General features: G+C 41.0%; 1 protein-coding gene across 5 annotated transcripts in view, besides 1 other annotated feature; it reads left to right on the top strand.

The window, feature by feature from the left end:
- FRMD4B (FERM domain containing 4B) overlaps window positions 1-22,817 on the top strand; it is a 373,805-nt gene that overhangs the window by 130,464 nt on the left and 220,524 nt on the right. The window lies entirely within an intron of this gene.
- Window positions 18,700-19,328: an enhancer, noted in NCBI's record as "OCT4-NANOG-H3K27ac hESC enhancer chr3:69441946-69442574 (GRCh37/hg19 assembly coordinates)". NCBI's record gives its function as "activates a minimal SCP1, AML or CMV promoter by ChIP-STARR-seq in primed H9 embryonic stem cells {active_cell/tissue: H9 hESC(primed)}" and the evidence as "EXISTENCE:reporter gene assay evidence [ECO:0000049][PMID:30033119]".

The following is a 22,817-nucleotide window of genomic DNA, read 5'->3' as shown; positions in this document are numbered from 1 at the left end:
GCATAATAAATGGACCCACCTCCTAGGGTTTTTGAGCACATTAATAAATTTATAGATGAAAAGTGCTGAAAGTAGTGCTTGGCACATAGTGAGCACTCAATAAATGTTACCTGTTTTTACTGTCATCTAGAAAGAAATGCAATTTCTAGCTAGATTAGCAAGTGGGTAATATTCCTGCTGTATTTCTGAACACTCAGCCACTTATTTTTGCAATTGGGCTTCAGAACAATAAAACTTAAAAATCACTCAGTCAGGAGTTTGTTCTGATTTGATATAGATAATTGTTCAAAAGCAAGGACCTCGGAAATCTTCCACTTTAAGAAGTGCGTGGTGAAACTAGATTGGAGGCTATATCATTAACTGGAATCCCAATGTGAATTATATTATAACCACGTCCCTAGGCAGTTATCCAGGATATTGTAAATTACTCACTACTTTATTCGATGAACTTCTTAAAAGTTTCCCTAGACAGGAGATCAGGGTCAGCTTTGGAACTGGAGACTTTGTTCATTAGTGAAATATTTTTATGAAGTCGGGAGACAGAACATTTCTGATTCCTCATGCTTCTGACAAAGAGATTTACCCTGCTGAAGGATGGAGCCTGGGGTGATTCATATCCTGTAGGATGAAAAACATAACTCAGAAACTCAATGCTGTCAGCTTCTCCCTCTCTATCCCAGGTTTAAATTGTATTGCCTAGATACATTTATAATCATCCAGGTGTACCTTGCTTCAGACTGAAGTGTGGGTGGTTAATTGTATTTTTGTGAGTTGAGTCATATTTGTAAATACTCTCAGGACAATGAAAATTTAAAAGAGTCCTAACTTAAACCTTCTTCAATTTTGAGAAACAACAGAGAATGGACAGCATTAGTTGCAAATTGGTGACTTACAGTTAGAATACCATATGAATTAGTAGCCACCATGTAGAAAATTAGGATAGTTCAGGTACAAATCTGGATAAATTGTTCTGATGTGTTTTGTTTTTAAATCAGAGTTTTGGCACCACTGGGCCATCATTATCACTTGGCACCATTCAGGGCTGAATGGCGGTGTCCCCACTTCAATCAGGGATGCCATCTCTAGTTTGCCACAGGAGAATACGGCCCATGGGACTCATGGATTTCACTTGGCTGACCCCTTATGGCTTACAGCCCCTCTTCTATAGGCCAGGTACAAATTTTCAAACTTCAATTTGTTTAAAGTAGTGTTTTCCATTGTAATTAAAAATATTGTTCTTGAGACCTGAGATGGGAGGATTCCTTGAGCCCAGGAGTCAGAGGCTGCAATGAGCTGTCATCATACCTCCAGATTCCAGCCTGGGCAACAGAGCAAGACCCTGTCTCAAATATATATATATATATATATATATATATATATATATATATATATATATTTATTTATTTATTTATTTATATATTTCTTTTTTTCCCTTGTTCCATAACCTTTCAGGCATTACTTTTATTAAGAGAAGATGCTGAACCCGTAGGTAAAATATTCTATTTTCCTTCCTTCCTCTCAATGGCCGTTTCTGGGCCATGCCTGTGCCATCAGAGGGCATCAGTTTGACAGTCTGCCCCTAGGTGGAGCACTTTTCCAGAAACAGCTTGTACAGGTCTTGCAAACTACATACACGTTCATACACTCACATACACTCACGTACTCACACACATATTCACACTCGCTCATGCACAGACATGCTCACCCTCATACTCATACTCACACACGCATTCCTACATTTACACTTATCCATTACACTCACGCAGATATTCACACGCTTACCCCTGCATTCACACACTCACTCTTAGGCACAGGAGTGCCAGTAGTATCTGGAGACTTAGTGGAATTTCAGAGCTGATATCGGACCTGCTTTTGGAACTTGAAATTGGCCCGAGTGTCCTGAAGGAGAGGAATAGTCAGGAGCAAGAGATGGGCTCAGAGAGGAAGGTACCAACGAAAGTTAACCTTTGTTACTTTGTCCTTTTGCTTCACAGTCTGAGGGAAGCAAGCCAGGGGTCTGTTCTGTGCACTAGGAAATTGTGTTTGTTGTCAGGAAATCTGAGCCATTTGAGGAAAGGGTGGAGTTCTTGTTGGCATTGCTGGGGGTTCTGAGGATCCTGAAAGTGGAAGAACCCATATGACCAGGAGAAACCCCATTTCAGACCAGCTTAAACCATAAGAGCTGCTTATTGGCTCATGTAACTGAGAACCTGAAGGGTTCTAACTTCAAGTGCAGTTGAAGAGGCTGCCAGTGTTCTCTGAATTCTCTCTACTCTGCTTTCCCCACATGTGGGCTTTGTTGTCAGATTTTCTTCCTTTTTAGTACCAAGAATGGCTGTGGCAGTTTAGTCCTCACATCTGAGCTTTCTATATGCAGAGAAGAGAGGGTACCTTTATCCTAGATTTCCAAGCAATAGCCCTGAGATTCCCTCTGTTGGACTGGCTTCTGTCCCAGGTCCCCTCACATGCCAATTGGTTTATGCCAATTAGGTTTTCCCCTGAAGTGGAGGTTAGCACCTGGGTTGTGTGAGGGAGGGGTGGATAATGTATAAAAATCGAGATTTTTCTCAGCTAGAAGAATGAGGGTGAATGCTGGTGGCCACTATGCCATCTGGCCAACCCCTTGGCAGTCCAGAGGTGACTGGGAAGTAGCTCATTGTGTTCCTGATGCCTTATGAGGACAGATGATGCACTAATACTCCTTCTACTGGGTCATTGTAAGCTTTCTGTGGTGCACACAGAGAAATGGGACCATGCCTAGGAATCTCCTGGTTGTATGAGTTTCCAATTGAAATGAATTCTTGTTGGAAATGTCTCAACAGCCGAGTGGATTTGCTTCTCCAACTCAAAGAGAGAAGTTCAGGCATCTAGCTCTAGGGTAAAGACTGAGCCGGAATCCGCTAGTAACCTCTGCCTTCTTCCCTTTTGCATTCACACATTCAGCACAAAGAAGTGCTGAACCAAGCAATGCCAGTTTTCTGCTGAGACTGAGTAGTGGAATGACTACAGGCTCCCTTTCCTGAAAACTCACTGTGAGCCAAGAACTGGCCTTTTAGACACTCTGCATATATTCCTCACGAACAACCTCAGGATGGAAGTGTTTTTCTCTCTATTTTACAGATGCCAAGCCAAGCCTTAAGGTGGTTAAATAATTCCTCCAAGATTATAAGGTGGGTAAGTGCAGAGCTGGGATTTTACCCCAGGTTGATAGAATCTGACTTCAAACCTGAGTTTCTCACTGGCCTCTCTAAAAAACACACTCTAAGCAGTGGTCCCCAGGTGCAACTTGGGAGTGAGCCCTCCAGTCGTCGACTCTTCCCTGCTTGAAATTCCTCCCACTGGCGCCATCCCTGCTCTAAGGTGGCTCTGGTCCCCTGCCAGGACTCCACGCAACTATCTCCAAATGCTGCTGGCTCCAGCTCAGCAGAGCTGCCCTTGTTTATTGTCCACCCCCCACTCCCCCTACCAAGCCCTGCCTGCCCAGGCAGTGCAACAAGCCCTGAGTCCTTTTTATGATATCATTTTCCTGTTTTACAGCATTTTCCACTCAAAACTTACAGGTCCCACGTTCTGCTCCATCACAGTCCTGCTCTCTCTTAACTAATATGTTCTCCAAGTGCTGGTGGGTTATTGGATTAAGTGTTCTGTGGAGACGGCTTTACTTTTCAACAAGGGCTTTCTGGAGAAAGCGTCAATTGGCGGAACTTTCAGACTAGCAAGATGATGCCTTTGGGGGCACTTGGCTCTTGAACCACACTTGATAGGCAGCAGCCTCTTGGTTGCATGTGGAGGAGCTTATGATTGCATTACAGACTATTAATTGAAAAGAACCTTTCAGGCCTCATGACTTCAGGATTCTTCATCACTTCAGAAGGGAGTTTTCAGGTTTGCTCCTAAATTCCTTTCTAGAAACAAATTTTCCCCTGATTTCACCTTCCCATTTCATCTATGCATTAATTCCTACCCATCTCTCTCACGATCTAGATTGGGGTTGGCCATGGCCTGTTTTGTAAATAAAGTTTTATTGGCACGCAGCTGTGCCATTTGAGTATGCATTGTCTCGGCTGCTTTCCCACTGCAACAGCAGAGTTAAGTAGCTACAATTGAGACTGTATTTTTAAAAAGTGTGCTGAGCCGGATGACCTAGGTCAGTAAACGCCACAGACGCTTTTCCGTGACCCCCTAACTCCTTTTTCCCCCACATGGCCAGGAATAAAAACCTCAGCTAGCCCTGGCTCCACGAGGAAAAAAAATCAAATGCCTAATATTTGGAAAGGAAAAACACAATACAACCCTCATTTCCCTCTCAATGAAAGAAATGGGTGACACTTCTGCAGCCGCGTCTGGGCCTATGGCAGATATTGCTGATCAATCATAGCACTCTTTCCCACTGGGCCTTAGAATCCTTCTCGAAGCAATGCCCAGGCAGCCACTACCAATCAACTGGACTTGGCATTCAAGTGGAAAACTACTTTCCATCCCTGGCCCAGTGGACACCATCAGATCAGAAAATCACAAAGACAAAAATCCTGTGTAATAAGTAACCCCTGAACATCGTTTGGGTTGCCATGTCAGACATTGCACCTCTTGTTAAGTCCGGAGTTGAAACTTAATTCACTGTTTCTGTTTCTTAGATTAAGCACCAGATAAAGTAGTTGTCTTGAGGTTAGGGACCGTGTTGTATGAAAAATGCCTCCCTTTAAATAGTAGAGTGATTACACTGTGCAATGCTGACACCGTGAGAGATATCCAGGAACTAAGCCCCATTGAGAATATTCCTAAGTCCCATCTAACGCTCGCCTTTACTAAGTGGCTTCATAGGTGGAATCACTTACATTACATTATTTCTTTCTCATGCTAATCCTTACTGTCTTTTATACCCAAGCACCTGTTGAATTTACATTCAGTAAAAGATGTATATAGTATTGCCAGGGGCTGGAGTGGGAACATCTATATTACCACTTTCTTCCTTAAACCACGCCACCCTCACCCCATGTTCTAGTTTATGCAAATTTCAGGAAGATTCCAAAAGACACTCTTCAAACACTGGTGCAAATACTTGCTTAAAAACCTGACATTAGGCTGGGTGTGGTGGCTCACATCTGTAATCTCAGCACTTCAGAGGCCAAGGCAGATCCCTTGAAGTCAGGAGTTTGAGACCAACCTGGGCAACACAACAAGACCCCTGTCTCTACAAAAAAAAAAAAAAAATTAAAATTAAAAATTAACTGGGTGTGGTGGTACACACCTGTAGTCCCAGCTACTTAGGAGGCTGAGGCAGGAGGAGTGCTTAAGCCAGAAGTTCAAGGTTATGGTGAGCTGTGTTTGAGCCACTGCACTCCAGCCTGAGACACAGAGAGAGACATTGTCTCTAAAAAAAAAACAAAAACAAAACCTAACATTAATGACATTTGGTAAGACTTGGCTAAACATAGTCATTATTGACAGCTATAGAGACCTGCCCCTAAGGACATGTTTGCTGCCACAAGACTGACTGAACCGGCTTCCTTTGAGGAGGAGATGATAGCAAAGTTGCAAACGAGGAGGCAGCATCACTTAGCAGTTTCTCACTTGTTTCCCCAGAAGTTGGAGAGGAGAACAGAAAGGAAAGTGAATATTTTACAATGGAAATGTGGCAAGGCTATTTAAAGGATCAGTTGGTGGGGAGGATGCTCCTTCTTACTTGCTGAGGACCAGCTGAGCCTGTGGGAATGACAGCTATTAACTGGGAGGAGCCAGATGCACTGGGAAAGTCTCGTTAGAGCCTTGCACAGTTGGCATCTTGACAGCAAAGTTGTGAGCTGTGAGTATCGGCTGGGATCCAGCATGAGGTTTTCCAAGAGCCATTGTTCATTAAATGTGGTGCTCTAGAAGTTGGACCCTGAGAGTGTGAGTGTGCCTCTGGCCATTTAAAAGCATTAAGCCAATCTTGGCAAAAGGTTTTAGCTGTTGGCACCTCATGTGTTTTTGTGTTCGATTTGTGGAAAAGGGAATAAGAAGTGCAAGGGTGAGTGCCTTTTTAATAAAGTTTTAAGCTTTGAGATTCATGGGACCCCAGTAAAATTAATAATGTGGTGTTATTGATATTCTTTGGGTGAAAAACAAAGCAATGCATCCCTTTGCTTTGGAACAGATGAAAGAATTTAATAATTATTATACCCAAGGTGCCACATAACCAAGTCATTGAAAATGCAAAATATTATTTGAAATGACATTAATAAAAAGTTTGATACTATTAATATGGTGCCTATCCTGCAGTACTGTTTCACTACAAGGGACCAAGTTAAATTTAAATTTCAGTTGGAACTAGGAGGCTTTTTCTGCAGACCAGAAAGCAGGTCATCATGGCTCATTTAATTTCTGACACCAAAGAGGGTAGGACTGGGAAACATGGTATCGGAGTGAGCCAGATGTTGTGGCGTATCGCAGAACTAGAACGTCACGGCTTAGCAATGGTTCCTCCCTTTGCTTGGATATGTTTGCCTCAAAGGTAAGAGCCCTTGTAGAGAACATCGGCTGCTTCTGCTGCCCAACATCCTTCTACCTTCTTCTTCTGGTAACAGGAACTCCCTTTTATTGGGGAAAATGTTCTTTTCACACATCTGACCAAGTTGCCCTGCACAGGGCTGCCAGTCATGGTACCCACCCTCCCAGACCACAGGATGGCTCCTGCTTCTGGCTAAGCCAGTCACTACACAAACCGCTATGTCCTCCACCCTGGCCACAGTGGTTATGATAGTCAATCAGCATCCTTGCCCATGATTTAACCTACAGGAGCTAGCAGCGAAGAGCTCTCTTTCCTCTCTGATGGTGAGTCTGTAAGGACATACACTTGGAGGTGCCTTTGGTTGTGGTTTTATACCCTTTTGTGATAGCACACTCAACAGAATGAATGACACGTGTAAAGGAACACACCAGAGAAAATGAATGAACTGTGTAAAAGAAGCAATGGCAAGAGCAAGGAGAAAGAAAACATTCTTGGCATCTACAAGGTCTGTTTGACCCTGCCTATTCCCTAGTTTGTCATATGAGCCAATAAATTCCAGGTTGCTTAAATTAGTTATAATTATGTTTCCATCATTCGCGAGCAAAGAGCTCTGATGAAGACTTTATAGCCCCTGTATAGTTGGCACCTCACATTTCTCTTCTAGGCTATTGGACCAAGTTTTTAATCTCTTTCATTCCTGCCTGTTATTTGCAAGCACTGTGATAAGCCCTGAGGACACAGTTGTGAGGAAGACAATCAGGATCCCTGCCCTCCTGGTAACCATACCTGAGTATAACAAGATCTCTTGCATCCTCTTTCCATTCCTGTGGAGTCTGGGGTTCTGAACCATCTGACTGTCACCCTTCTCAGTGTCTTCTTGATTGGTGTCCTCATTCCAAGCTGCTCACATGAACTTGCTTTCTGTTTGTCTTGACCTACTTCATTTATGCCCAACTCCACCCAGTACCAAGCACGAAACTCACAGTTCTGCCTGGATTATTGACCTCTGGATACTTCAGAGTCTGAACCTAACCCATCAACTCCCTTAACCTAAGTTTCAGCTTTACCATAATAGAAGTAATAATAATAAAGTAAAATAGAGGCCATAATAATACTTTATTTCATAGGTCATTGTGAAAATTAAATGATTAATGGCTGTTTCATGAAAACAAATCAACAAAAAGTAGCTGAAGTTATTATTTGATGCTTCTAACTCTAATAATCACATCTCAAAGCCAGAGTTACATTTTCTATCCTTAATATTCAAGAAAGTAATACTATGAAAGAATCCTCTGGATCAGAAAGCCTGTGCATTTATTTAATTTTATTTTTTCTGAATTCTGTTATTGGAGAGAAATCTTATGGGCAAAAATACACTCACACTGTATTTTCTATTTGCGATTTTCTTCAAGAAAATCCAAAAGAAAACATTCTTAGGAGACCAGGCACATTGGTTCAGGCCTGTAATCTCAGTGCTTTGGGAGGCTGAGACAAGAGGATCACTTGAAGCCAAGAGCTCAAGGCCAACCTGGGCAATATAGTGAGACCTGTTTCTACAAAAACATTTTTTTAAACAGCCAGGTGTGGTGTTGGATGCCTATAGTCCTAGCTACTTGAGAGGCTGAGGCAGGAAGATTGCTTGAGCCCAGGAATTCAAGGCTGTGAGCATAATTGTGCCACTGCACTCCAGAGCCCGGGTGACAAGAGAGACCCTGTCTCTAAAATTAACAAAATAATATTTTAGGGATAGACATGTCTCTGATTCTGGTTAGAATAAAATGTGCAAAGAGAGACCTGTGTGTGTGTGTGTTGAGGTGGGGGGAGTGGGGTACGCATGCGTGCTTATGCACACTTTTGGAATAGAGATAGAGAATGCTGTACTATACTTCATAAGTGGAGTATACTTGAACTTGTAAGGTTCAAATGTCCATATGCCTCTTTTATTTTCAAGCTGATTGCGTTAGGTGTATATTTAAGCTTTCTATACTTCCAAAACCTGTCTTGCCTGTTTCTCCTCTCTGTGAAGTTTTCTATGACTGTTTGAATAGTGCTGACATTTCATAGTCTCAGGGTTTAGTAGCAACGGCAGGAATGGGGTTAGCTTCCCCACTCATTTCAGGGGGAAGGGTTCCTTTCTTCCTTACTGAGATTTCCCTGTCACTGAGCCCTGTTGTTTTGCTAGCAGAAGGCCTCTGTTACAATGCTATGTTACATGGCATTCCTTGTATCTAGCATTAATTGAATCCTTTGGTTAATGAAAATAACTGCCCAGTTGAGCCAGTTTTAAAATGGGGACAGTGAGAATACTTCTGAGTTGTTGAGAACATTAACATGGCTTGGTGGGTGTGAAACCCCATAAGTCAATGCCTGCACATAGCTTCTTTTCTAAGGAATATCAGGAAGGAATGATTTTTTTTCTTTTCTGAGGAATATTTGGGTGTTCATTAGAGGCCCCTGAACCCTTGCTAAGTTTCAAAGCACCTCTGTGATCCAGGCAGTTCTTACAAATGAAGTAGAGGGGATCTGATTTAGCCTTTCTGTTTTATTAGTGTGGACACAGACCCAGTATCTTCAGGGTCCTCCAAACATCTAGCTACTGCTGGCATATCCTCCTGGATGTTCCAGATATAAAATGTTGTTTCTCTTCTCTGCCGTATTCTGTGTTTGAATGATTAATACCATAATACAGAAATTCCAGGGCTATGCTTCCTTTAAACAAAATAATCTTCTGGAGTCTTTTTCAATCACTCTCCATCCAGTGATTTTCATATGTATATCTCATTGATTCCTGATTCTTTTTGATTTACTGTCTGTCATGTGCAATCTGACTAATGTATTGAGGTCAATTATTGCACTGTCTCCTGATGCCAATAATTCTCACCTACCCTCATGTCATACTGTCTATAATCTGGGTTGCTTATTTAGCTATTTGGTATCCACGAGATCTAGAGGCAATGGGAAATTCATTTTGTACATCTTATGTTTGATATTTGGTTCAATTCAGCCCTACATATATGAATTACGCACCTCCTATATCTGAGATACTGTGTTAGGTTTTGGGATACAAAGATAAACAAAACATCCTCCCCTTCTCAAAGCTTTCAGTCCAGTGTAAAGTATATCATTAAAGATCTCCTAAAGTAAGAGAGAACCCACACATTAATTGGGTTAATAAGGTAATAAGGAAAGATATTATTTCATATGTCATAAGGAAATCTATTATGTTAAGATATCCTGAGGTAGGGCAGCTCACACACAATACTTGAAGGCTCCAGTTTCTCATCTTGGTAATTGCCTTGTTTAAAAATCAGCTCTCTGTATTGGCTTCATCCTCATTGTGGCAACAAGATGGCTCAACCAGAGTTAAGCTAGGTTTCCCAGAAGCCCCCTCAGTAGATATCCCCTTTGGTCTTAATGGGCAAAGCTGATCACATGCCCTTTCCTAAACCAATCACTTGACAGGGAGGATGGGATTACCATACCTGCCCTAGGCCTGTCCTTTTGGGTAGAACGGATATTGGATAATCACCCATGACTGCAATAGTTGGGCAGACATGAGAAATAGGAAATTCACTGCAGTTGTGTTATTAACATATGCTGAGACAGGAGGCTGTATAAGATCCCACAAGAATTGCCTACGCACAGGCTACTGCATTTAATCATTTATTATGAAAAACATTTTATTTTTACTAAACTAAAAGTTTTTCTGAAGTCTGTATAGATTACAGTGGTTGTATCTCCTCTTGTTGACCCCTGTGCTTCTTACACTGAGATGTTTGTGCTCTCGGCCAGGCACGGTGGCTAATGCTTTGTAGTCTCAGCACTTTGGGAGGCCGAGGCAGGCAGATCGCTTGAGTCCAGGAGTTTGAGACCAGCTTGGGCAACAAGGCAAAACCCCATCTCTACAAAAAATATAAAAATTTTGGGGTGTGGTGGTGCACACGTGTGGTCCCAGCTAATCAGGAGGCTGAGGTTGGAGAATCACTTGAGCCCAGGACGTCAAAGCTGTAGTGAACAGTGGTGGCACCACTGCACTTCAGCCCGGGTGGCAGAGTGAGACCCTGACTCAGAAAAGAAAGAGAGGAAGAAAGATACACTCTTCTCCTGAGAGATGTCCTGAGAGATTATAGGAAACCCAAAATAAACATTGCACATCTTCCTGGAACAACAGTTTTACTTATTGAATTTTTAGAAAGAAAACCAAAGATATATTATGAAGAAGAATAAAAAAACTTCAGGAATCTTTAAGATAAAATAGGTAAATTCAATTTCTGATTGCTAAAATTGCTTTGGGACAACCCCCAAGCCCCTGATATCCCTCCTCTGTCCCGTGTAGTTTACTTGGATGGAATAGTTGAAGAGGGTCTTCCTCCATATATTTCCATTGCTATGGAAGGAAATTAATTTGGATGTTCTACTTTCATCACAACCATATTTCAGTGATTGTGCATTTTAAAAATTCTTCTTCAGCCTGAACATAATCTATTGTTTATGTAACTGTGCTTTATGATGTAAACATAATGTTTGCATTTTATATATTTCTATGCTGTGTATCTTAAATTATTTATTTTAATTATTTATCTTCTCTAAAACCATATAGTAGTGTGTATGGAAAAGGGCATTCAAAATGGAAGTAAAGAATGCCGGTAACCATTGACATTCTCTGTACTCCTGTAGTTAATCAGTTAACAGACTTAAGTATTCTATTTTAGAAATACGAACAGGGAACAAATCCACAAGGCAAATAAGTTCACATCATCTTATCCTGCTCTTAGCATAACTCAGTGTAATAGAAGCAGAGCTAGTTTCTGAATGCCCCAAAGCACTCTTGAAAGGGGCTTTAGAGAACTAAGCCACTTAGGAGGACCAAATATGTCTCAGATAATCCTTGATCCTACTGTCAAGATTTATTTGAATCAGGGCAAATTAAGAGTAAGGTAAGTCATTAAGAGTAAGGTAGGTCACATCCAGAGACCTTGCCCACCACCTTCTTTCTCAGCATACAGAAATATCTCACACCAAAGCCTTCTTGGATTGCCTTCCTGGGTCTCAACCATTGCACCCCAGTGGTGTTTGTCTTGTTTGTTTTTTCATCCAGTAGTTAGTTTTAACCCAGTACCAGCCTCAGTTTCCTCCAGGCTTCTTCCTTGGAAAATGCTTCCAGACCTAAGGAGTAGTTTCTAAGCCTTATTATTCTTGGCTCTCAATCAATTCTAAATTTTCTTCTAAATGGTACACTTTTTTTTTTTCTTGAGAGACAGGGTCTCACTCTGTTGCCCAGGCTAGAGTGCAGTGGAGTGATCATAGCTCATAGCTCACCGCATCTTCAAACCCGTGGATTCAAACCCAGCTTCTCAAGTAGCTAGGACTATAGTCATGAGCCACCATGCCCAACTAATTTTTTTTTTTTGGGGTGAAGACAGAATCTCAGTATGTTGCCCATGCTGGTCTCAAACTCCTGGCCTCAAGTGATCCTCCTGTGTCAGACTCCCAATGTGCTGGGATTACAGGCATGAGCCACCATGCCCAGCCTCAATTTTTTTTAAACAAGGAAAGACTTTCCTTTTGTAGGGTCACTCATAGCTTTTACATTTCCATCTGCTCAATTAACAGGTTTATTGAGTACCTAATATGAGCCAGGTATCGTATTGGGTTGGGGCAAAAGTAACTAACAACTGAGCTCATTACTTTCAGTGGCAAAATCTGCAATTACTTTTGTACCAACCTAATACTAAGCAATGACAATATAAGGGTCACAAGACAGGCATGGTCCCTGCACCCATGGAGCTTATGGTCTGGTGTCAAAATCAAGCCTTAGCAGGTAATTTTAAATATGGTGGATGTAATGAGAAGGGAAGTTTAAGCGGCAGTGATGGGGCACTCACCTGCTTTGAGGGATCAACATTAAAGCTAAGGCTTGAAAGATAAATGGGAGTTCACTGGATTCAATCTCAGGATGGAGAAGAGTGTTGAGGACTTAAAGAGCCACAAATATAAAGAGCCTGAGGGAAAAGCATTAGAACCCAAAAGAAGACCAGTATGGCTCTCTGTAATGAGGCAAAACATAAAACAGGAACACAGACAAAAGTTATGCAGAGTGACAGAGCAATCCTTACAGTCAGATCTCATAATGTGACTTGTTTACTAATTTAACCATCATTTTCTCTGAACAAGTTGAGACTTCACCGCAGATAGAATGAATATAGAGATGTTGGGATACAAATTGAGACAGTGGCCTAGGATTGCCTGTCGAAGCAGTTCTTGTTCGGAAGGACATAAGAGTGAATGAAATGGAAGGGCTGGGTTTCACCTGGGGACACCCATTCTCAGATTTCTCAGCGGATTAAAACCCTAAAGCTTTCTGCAGTAGAAACTGGACCACAAACAAGCTTCCACACTCTTCTAAGCTGTGGGGAGGGCCATGAACGAAGTACCAAATAGGAATCCCCTTGGCAATGGATACAACCAATTTCATTTGCTGTATAAACAATTCATGTGGATTGAGGACAGCTCGGGTGGAAAAAATTCAACAATTATTGCATTTGGGCTTCTTCCCTTAAGATTTATTTGTTCCAAGTAATTTTTTTTCTTTCTTTAAATCCAATTTTACCATGGTGCCTTGAATGACTTCTGTAGAAATACTAGAATTCTGATTATACTGCATTGCCTTTTGCTGTCATTGTATTGCCATTTCTTTACTCTTTTAAAATAGCTTATATATATATATGTTACAGTATGCAGTATATGTTTGGATATCATAGACTATGTCAGGATGGATACACAAGAAACTAGGAAGTTTGTATCTTTGGGCAGGGGAAAAGGGCAGAATGGCTACTTGGTTGCATAACGCTTTCCTGTGGGGTTAAGATGAAAAGGACTCTTTTTCTCAAAGCCATGAGTTATGGCTTATCCAGCAGAGCCCTGGCTAGATTACAGCCCCCACTCACTGCCTTAGCCAGGTGCCTTGTGCAACTGGCATCTTGAACAATCTTACATGGCAGCCCTGGAAATAAGGAGCTGGGGAACAAGGATGTGAGGGAGGCTTACATTTCATTGCTGAATAAGCTTTTGTATGATTGCATGTGCATTTCCAATTAGAAATCAAAAAGTAGTATGTGCAAAATTATAGCTAGATAAGAGCAATGCATTCTGGTGTTCTATAGCACTGTAGGATGACTGTAATTAACAATAATATATAGTTTCAATCATCTAAAAGGAGGATATTGAATATTCCCAGCACAAAGAAACGATAAATGTTTTACATGATGGATATGCTAATCACCCTCATCTGATCACTACACATTGTAAGTATTGAAACATCACTATGTATCCCATAAATATGTAATTATTATGTGTCAATTAAAAAATAAAACAAAAGAATAAAGAAGTAGTATGTGCTAATACAGAAAAACAGAAAGAAAAACCTCCTCCACCACAATAAATTAAAATCATCCAATGATCAGAACTCAGAAATCAGTACTGTCAATAATTTAGTATATTTTCCTCTAGGTTTTTTCCCTTACATGCATGCACTCAGTTTTATAACTGAGCTCATGTACAGTATTTTTTTCTGCTCTGATTTTTACCTTGTTTTATAAAATAGGATTTTTTTCCAAATCAAGAGAAATTTGAACACCTTCTTTCTGAAGATATAAGTATTACACACTCATTGTGGAATATTCAGCAAATACAGGTACAAGTTAAGATGTTTTCTGTGGTTTTACCTCTCTTTTTTTGGTAACAGCTTTATTGGGATATAATTCACATGCCATATAGTTCACCTATGTAAAATGTACAACTCAATGGATTTCTGTGTATTTACAGAGTGGTGCAACCGTTACTATAATCTAATTTTAGAACATTTTCATTGTCCCAAAAAAAACCCTGTACTAATTAGCAGTCATTCCCCATTTCTCCCTAATTCCCTCAGCCCTAGGCAACTACTAATCTAATTTCTATCTATATAGATTTGCCTAATCTAGACATTTCATATAAATGGGATCAATATTATATGTGGTCCTTTATGATTGGCTTCTTTCACTTAACAGTGTTTTTGAGATTCATCCATGTCTTGGCATAGATTTCATTTCTTTTTTTAAAGTTATCTATTTTTTGTCAATTGCTTATTTCATTATTAATCGATTGATTTTTATTCACATACCATAAAATTCACTCTTTTAAAGTGTACAATTCATTGGTTTTTAGTATAATCACAAAGTTGCACAACTATCCCCATTATCTAATTTCAGATCATTTCATCACCTCAAAAAGAAATTTCATACCCATTAATAGTCATACCCTATTCACGACACCTCACGCCCCAACTCCCTGGCAACCACCAACTTATTTTCTGTCTCTGTGGATATGTGGCCTTTTTGTTTGGCTTCTTTTACTTGACATTATGTTTTCAGTATTCATCCATGTTGTAGTACGTACCAGTATTTCATTCCTTTTTATGGCTGAGTAGTATTCCGTCATATACGTATACTACATTTTGTATATCCACTCATCAAGTGATGGACACTTGAGTTGTTTCTACTTTTTAGCTATTATGAAGAATGCTTCTGTGAACATTCATGTCCAAATTTGTGTGTGTGAACATACGTTTTCAATTCCCTTGAGTATATACCTCACTCCTTTTTATTGCTAACATTCCATTATATGGATATATCACATTTTAAAAATCTGTTTATCAGCTGATAAACGTATGGGTAATTCCCACCATTTGGCTATTATGAATAATGCTACCGTGAACATTTGTGTACAGGTTTTTTAAAATGCCTGTTTTCACTTTTGTGGGGCACATACTTAGGAATGGAATTGCTGGATCACGTGGTAATTCTATTTTTAACTTTTTGAGGAACTCCAGTCTTTTCCACATTTTACATTCCCACTAGTAATGTATGAAGATGGCAATTCTTCCACATTTTTGCCAACATTTGTTATTATTCATCTTTCTAATTATAGCCATTCTAATGGATGTGAAGTAGTATATCATTGTGGTTTTGATTTGCATTTCTTCAATGACTAATTAATAATGTTCAGCATCTTTTCATGTGCTGACAAAATTCTTGTGATGTTTCTTCTCTTCAAAGAGGGATATGTTTTCTATAATTCTTTTTTTTTTTTATGAGACAGAGTCTCACTCTGTCACCCAGGCTAAAGTGCAGTGATGCCATCACAGCTCACTGCAGCCTCCTGCTCTTGGGTTCAAACGATTCTCCTGCCTCACCCTGCCAAGTAATTGGGATTACAGGTGTGTGCCACTATGCCTGGCTAAATTTTGGATTTTTAGTGGAGAAGGGGTTTCACCATATTGGCCAGGCTGGTCTAGAACTCGACCTCAAGCAATCCACCCACCTCGGCCTCCCAGAGTGCTGGGATTACAGGCATGAGCCACCACACCCAGCCCCTGTTTTCTGTAACTCTTTGGAAAGCTTCACTTTATATCTTGCTGCCAGAGTTGGGTGTTGTGCCTTCCCTTAGATCAATAGTTCATATCAGCAACATAGAAAAAGGACACTGGCAAAATAAGATTATTTGAAAAAGAGGGGAATAGGTGGTGGACAGACAACCAACATTTTCTGCCAAAATATATAAACATACAAAGAATAAACCAAAATTATCTATAAACCCACCAGACTGAGATAATGGAACTGTTTTAGGGTGAGGAAGTCTACCTTAAATTTCTCTGATGCTAGTCCCTTCAGAAGTAAAACCCCTCTTTTCTTTCTCTGTTATTGACTCAAGACCAAAGCATGCAGTTCTTCTCTTCTTTCCTATCAAATACTGCTTAAAGCTCCCTGAACTCTTAGTCTGAGGAATACATAACTATTTTCTCCACTGTGTAACATAGCCATAGGTTTCAAGGCTTGTAGCATGCTGCTTCCTGCTGCTTGCTCTTCTTGTATACAATTCATTTTGTAGTTGAGAACAGTATGTTCCTATCCTAAAAAGTTAATTTTAGGATAGCAAGATACAAGATATACTTTCATGTCCCTTTTTTGGGATGCTAGACTTTTCCTTTCTTTTCTTTTGCTCTTACTGCTAAGGGCCAAATAGTTGAAATTCCTAGCAACAATACTACCAAATTATTCTGTATTTTTAGCAATAATGGGAAAATAGTTTATTTTTATAACCTGTTGCTCATATTTGTTTGATGGTCAGAGTATACCCGGCCTTGAGATATTTTAATACTTTGCAAGCCACTGATATTGGTAATTTCTGTTTCTCAGTGTACTGCAGTTCAGTACTATGTACACCTAGGTAGTATGGTTGATCTTTGGAGAGTAAAGATTTTGCATATATCTTTTTGTTTTTCTTCTACCATTTATTGTATAGGAGGGAAGAGCCATTGGATTTCAAGTAACCGCTCTTTTATCTACCATAAAAAAAATAACTGTTCATTATAGATTTTCTTTTTTTCTCATCTTTTTATTCTTTTTTTAAAAAATTTTACTTTAAGTTCTGGGATACATGTGCAGAACGTGCAGGTTTGTTAACATAGGTATACATGTGCCATGGCGGTTTGCTGCACCTATCAACCCGTCATCTAGGTTTTAAGCCCTGCTTACATTAGGTATTTGTCCTAATGTTCTCCCTCCCCTTGCCCTCCACCCCCGACAAGCCCCGGTGTGTGATGTTCTCCTCCCCGTGTCCAGGTGTTCTCATTGTTCAACTACCACTTATGAGTGAGAACAGGCGGGTGTTTGGTTTTCTGTTTCTGTGTTAGTTTGCTGAGAATGATGGCTTCCAGCTTCATCCATGTCCTGTGAAGGACATGGACTCACTCTTTTTTATGACTGCATAGTATTCCATGGTGTTTATCTGCCACAATTTCTTTATCCAGTCTATCACTGATGGGCATTTGGGTTGATCCCAAATCTTTGCTATGTAAATCATACTGCAATAAACATATGTGTGCATGTGTCTTTATAGTAGAATGATTTATAATCCTTTGGGTATATACCCAGTAATGGGATTGCTGGGTCAAATGGTATTTCTGGTTCTAGATCCTTGAGGAATTGCCACGCGGTCTTCCACAATAGTTGAACTAATTTACACTCCCACCAACAGTATAAAAGTGTTCCTATTCCTCCACAGCATCACCAGCATCTGTTATTTCCTGACATTTTAGATCATTGTTTTATTCTTAATTAAATTGGGTAAACCCAAAGGGTGGACTTTTTGTCATGTTAAGTTCCTAGAGTAATAAAACACATCCTAGAACCATCCATGCCCGCTATGGACTGAAAGTTTTGTCTTCCCAAGATCCGTATTTGAAACTATACACCAATGTGATGGTATTTGGTGGAGCTTTGGGGAGGTAATTGGGCTTGGATAAGGCCGTGGGCCTGGGGGTCCCCATGGTAGGATCAGTGCCTTTATAAGGGGCTGAAAAGACCAGAACTCTCTCTGTCTTGGGAGAAAACAGCCACCTCCAAACCAGGAAGAGGGCTGTTACCAGAAAACAAATTGACCAGCACCTTGATCTTGTACTTCCCAGCCTCTAGAGCTGTGAGAAATAAATTTCTGTTGTTTAGGCCACTCAGTCCTGTGGGACTTTTGTTATAGCATCCTGAACTGTCTAAGACAATACCTTATAAATTTTAGTCTGAGGCCCAAACCAAATTATAAAAACAAAAGAAATTCATTCTTTTGTCTCTTAATTAAAGGACTGAAAAATTAGCAACTCCACCATTTTAAAAATGCTGCCATAAATGCTTTTCTTTAGCAAATCATCCTGCTTCTCTGTGCCTCAGTTTCTTTATCCATGAAATGGGGCCAAAATAACTTTCTCCTACTTGTTCTTGGGAAAATATATATTGTGAGAATCAACTGATGATATAAGCAAAGCTGCCTTTATTTATTTAGAAAAAATAATGGTGCTATATAGACCAATTTATGACTTTTTTTGTTGTCATTGTTGAAGTACATGTAGGTTAAGTAGACTTAATAAGTATAGAAAAAAAATGGTGCTATATAGACCAATTTTTAACTATTTTATTTTTGTCATTGTTGAAGTACATGTAGGTTAAGTATAAATAAAAGGTGACAAATTCTGGAGGTGGGAGGTCAGTCACAAGATTGATACCATTTCTCCCTTAAAGAAGGTGGCAAGCCCTTTCCCCCTGATCCACTGGACTTCCCTGGAACCATCCTCCCATTTGGATGCTTTTACATCTAGACAGATAACTTCTAAAATTTGATCTGGCAGGAATTTCCAATGTCTGCTCAGTTGATTAACTAGTAAAAATGGGTACAAGACAAAGTCTCACACCATGACGCTCTTTTTTTTTTTTTTTTGTACTTCTTCAGACAATATAGATAGCATCCCTCCTCTTTTCTTTGAGCAAGGAGACTTTAATTTGATAAAATAACAGATGAGGGAAATGAGAAAGTTTTGCTTTGTTTACTTCCCCCTCCTACACCCCCAGGAGTGAAATGAGTTTGCTGAAGCCAAAGAATAGACGCTGAATAGGTGCCTTAGTGGTGGATATATTTAGCTACTACGATTTTTAGCCCTTTGTGATGCCAAAAAGCCATTCATAGTCATGAAGGCAGCTGCAGAGAGTTAAGCAGCCTGCTGGTCAGCCTTGGACTATGAGGGGGACAATGGCTACTTCCTCCAATTCATGCTTCCACCACCTCTATGTGTTTCCTGCCATCTCCTCCTGCTTGAGGCCAACACTGAAGGATGCCCCTTAATCTCTCAGTCAAAGGGAAAGATGAAAGAAAGCAGGAGACCAGTCACCTAGCCTCTGGCTCGAGTGGCATTGAAACAGAACTTGTGTCGCTCGGGCCTCCTGCCTCCTTTTTGGAATGGGATGTAGAGGGACATGAGGCATTCAGACCCCCACCCCCTGAGTGAGGAGCCTGCCACTGCATAGTTGGGGAGCCCTCCCAGAGGCCACAAGAGAAGCTTGCTTTGAGGGTGGCACTTTTGCCCACCAACCTCTTACCCCATTCTGTGTGTGAAGGCCCCATGGTTCCCGAGGACTGAGGAACAGGAACACTCCTTCAGCTTAGTTATGTAGATATTCCCACAGCCCTGCCTCAAGCTCTTTCTTTGTACCCTAGAACTCTACAGCAGCCTCGCTGCTGGGCTTTTCTGGTCCCCCAACCATCAAGCATCCCCCTTGCCCTTTTCCCTTATGTTCTACAAATATGGGATCCTTCTTGCCACAAGCATTGTCCTCAAGGCTCCCTGTGCCTTGGATTGCTATCATGTACCCCCATCATCACCTGATTCTCCCGTACTCAGCCTTCAGGTCTCTGCTGAAAGTCATGTGCTCAGGGAGGCATCCCTTAATCCCCCCATCCTCACTCACCTGTCTCTATTGGAACCCCTGTGGCAGTGCCTGCTCCTTTACATTTCTTGTTCAGATTCCTCTTCTGACTTCCCCACTGTCCTCTAGGACTCGCTTAGACAGAGATCGTCTCAGTCTTGTCAGTGTTCTGAGTGCTTAGTTCCCTGCCTGATGCATAGTGCGAACTCAATACGTAATTTTCTAATGAACAAGACTGTGTTTTGGGAATGGATGAACCACTTTCTGTATTCACCGTTAAGACAAATAGTCATTTATTGGTCAGTTCAATAAACATTTATTGATTGCCTGCTATGTGCCAGCCACTGGGGAAACAAATATGAATAAGACCCTTTCCCAGCTTGCACCAGTGGTTTCTGAATGAGGGCAGCTACTACCCCACCTAGCAGCATTTAGAAATGTATGGAGGTGCTTTCTGTTGTGGTTGTCCTAATGACTGGGGCACTACTGCATTTATCAGGCAGAGCCCAAGGTCACTAAATGCCTTCCAGTGCATGGGATACTCCTGCACAAGGAGGAGCCATCCCAGCCAGCCTTGCTTCCACGTCACATCACAGTGGTTCCTCACATAGCTGACAGTCTAATAGAGAAAAGTGAGCTGAGAGGAGCAATATCCCATTGTGTGTACAGTCAGAGACTTTCATAACAGTGCATGGCCCAAAGGAGGCATCAGCATTCCACCTGGGTTTAGTGTGGGGGGAATTTTTTCTATAAACATGCCAAAGAAAGACTTCTTCTAGTACTATGGAGCCTCTGATTTAAATGAAATGATAATTCTGAGCAAACTATCGCAAGGACAGAAAACCAAACAGCGCAGGTTCTCACTCATAGGTGGGAATTGAACAGTGGGAACACTTGGACACAGGGTGGGGAACATCACACTCCGGGGCCTGTCGTGGGGTGGGGGGAGGGGAGAGGGATAGCATTAGGAGATATACCTAATGTAAAGGACAAGTTAATGGGTGCAACATACCAACATGGCACATGTATACATATGTAACAAACCTGCACATTGTGCACGTGTACCCTAGAACTTAAAAGTATAATAATAAAAAAAAATAAAAATAAATAAATAATAAATAAATGAAATGAAACAAAAACTGAAGTACAAAAATATTAATAGTTGTTATGATAGTTATTCTCCCTTTGGATGATAAGTATCCAAAAATTGTAAGTGAAAATCATAGGAAACGGCATTCCGGTTATTTCTCAAAAGACTTTGAGTTCATTATATTCGAAATTGTGGCTGTGTAAAAAAAAACTAACAAACAAAAAACCATTATACAGTGATTGCTTCATTTCTTTTGCCTTTTGGAAAGAAAATAACAAGAGGGAAGACTGTTTCTCCACAACTAGCCATGTGAGAGGAAGAACAGGGTGTAGCATTTATTTTATTTTATTTTTTATTTATTTTTGAGACAGAATCTCGCTCTGTTGCCCAGGCTGGAGTGCAGTGATGTGATCTCAGCTCATTGCAACCTCCACCTTCCAGGTTCAAGCAGTCCTTCCGCCTCAGCCTCCTAAGCAGCTGAGACTACAGGTACACACCACTACTCCCGGCTAATTTTTGTTACTTTTAGTAGAGATTGGTTTTGTCATGTTGGCCAGGTTGTTCTCAAACTCCTGACCTCAAGTAATCTGCCAGCCTTGGCCTCCCAAAGTGCTGGGATTACAGGCATGAGCCACCGTGCCTGGCCAGGGTGTAGCATTTAATTAGACCAGGGTTCTCTGACCTCTGCACCAGGGACATTTTGGGCAGGAGAGTCCTTTGCTCTGGGGGCTCTCCAGTGCATTATATAATGTTTAGCGGCATCCCTGGCCTCTACCTGCTAGACGCCAGTAGCATCTCCCAGTTGCGACAACCAAAAACGTCTTCTGACATTGCCACATGTCTCAGCATGGGAGGGAGGTATAAAATTGCCCCCGGTTGAGAACCATTGAACTAGACCTTGTTTTCATTCACCTCAAGCCCTATGTTGGACGTCCATGATCTGTCAGTTTACCCACACTAGTTTTTCAGGTGTCTAGAGAGTACAGCTGAAAAATGACCACAGACATTAGGTGGACTCTGTGTTTTTGCCAGGCAGAGGGGACCACTGGAAGCTGCCATTTCACTAACTTGCTCTTTCTTCCTAGAGACAGGGGTTGGAATTTGTCCTATCTTCTTGGCATTCATGCTCTTCTTCCTGCCAGTTCCTCAAAGGAGAACCTACAGGAGCCTCAGGCATAATGACAATTTCTCTTTTACGACAGCACAACTCCCAGGTGTATGAGTAATGCTGCCACCCGAAGCATCTTCTTAAGCCTCCAGAGAGAGCTGCAGGAAATTACAGTGTATTGCAGGGAACTCTGTGCTGAGGAGGAAAGAAAATCCTCTTCTTAAATTAAAAAAAAAAAGAAAGAAAGAAAAAGCAAGACAATGTTGAAGCTAGCTTGATTTAGCTCCTTTTCCACAGAAAATTTTAGACTAGCTTCAAGGGTGTGTGTCTGGGATCTGGTTAGTCCCATGTGGCTAGTCCATTTTAAGGATGATGCCATACTTGGGTAGCACTTTTCTCCACTTCTGCACATCTGGGTTCAGTTGCCACCCACTGCAGTCCCTGGAGTGGAGGAAGTTGTATTTCCTTCCCTCTAAAATCACTCAGTCTTGACCTTCGAACTTCTTCTACAAAAGAGGAAAGCCATTTGGATAAGAAAAAAAGCATCAGTGTTTATGTCAGTAGAAATAAGATGTCTTCTGTCTTGCACCCAGCTTCTCTGAGTCCACGGGACAAGTTGCCTCTAGTGGGGAAGATCAAGCTCAAAAAGCTTTTTGGGAACTTGAAAGAGCAACAGAACTGCTCCCTGAAAACAAGTTGCCACAAACTTTCACCTTCAGCAAACAGAAAGTCATAGGAAAGCACATGTAGGTAACTAGTTGAAATTTAAAAACACATTTTATAATATGTACACAGGGACATAGAGAGTGGACTAAGAAGGCTTGGCACAGTGGCTCACGCCTG

The sequence above is a fragment of the Homo sapiens genome, chromosome 3 (assembly GCF_000001405.40).
Source record: "Homo sapiens chromosome 3, GRCh38.p14 Primary Assembly".
Taxonomy (NCBI): Eukaryota; Metazoa; Chordata; class Mammalia; order Primates; family Hominidae; genus Homo; species Homo sapiens.
Note: the sequence above shows the minus strand (reverse complement) of the source record. Positions and strands in the feature narration are given on the sequence as shown.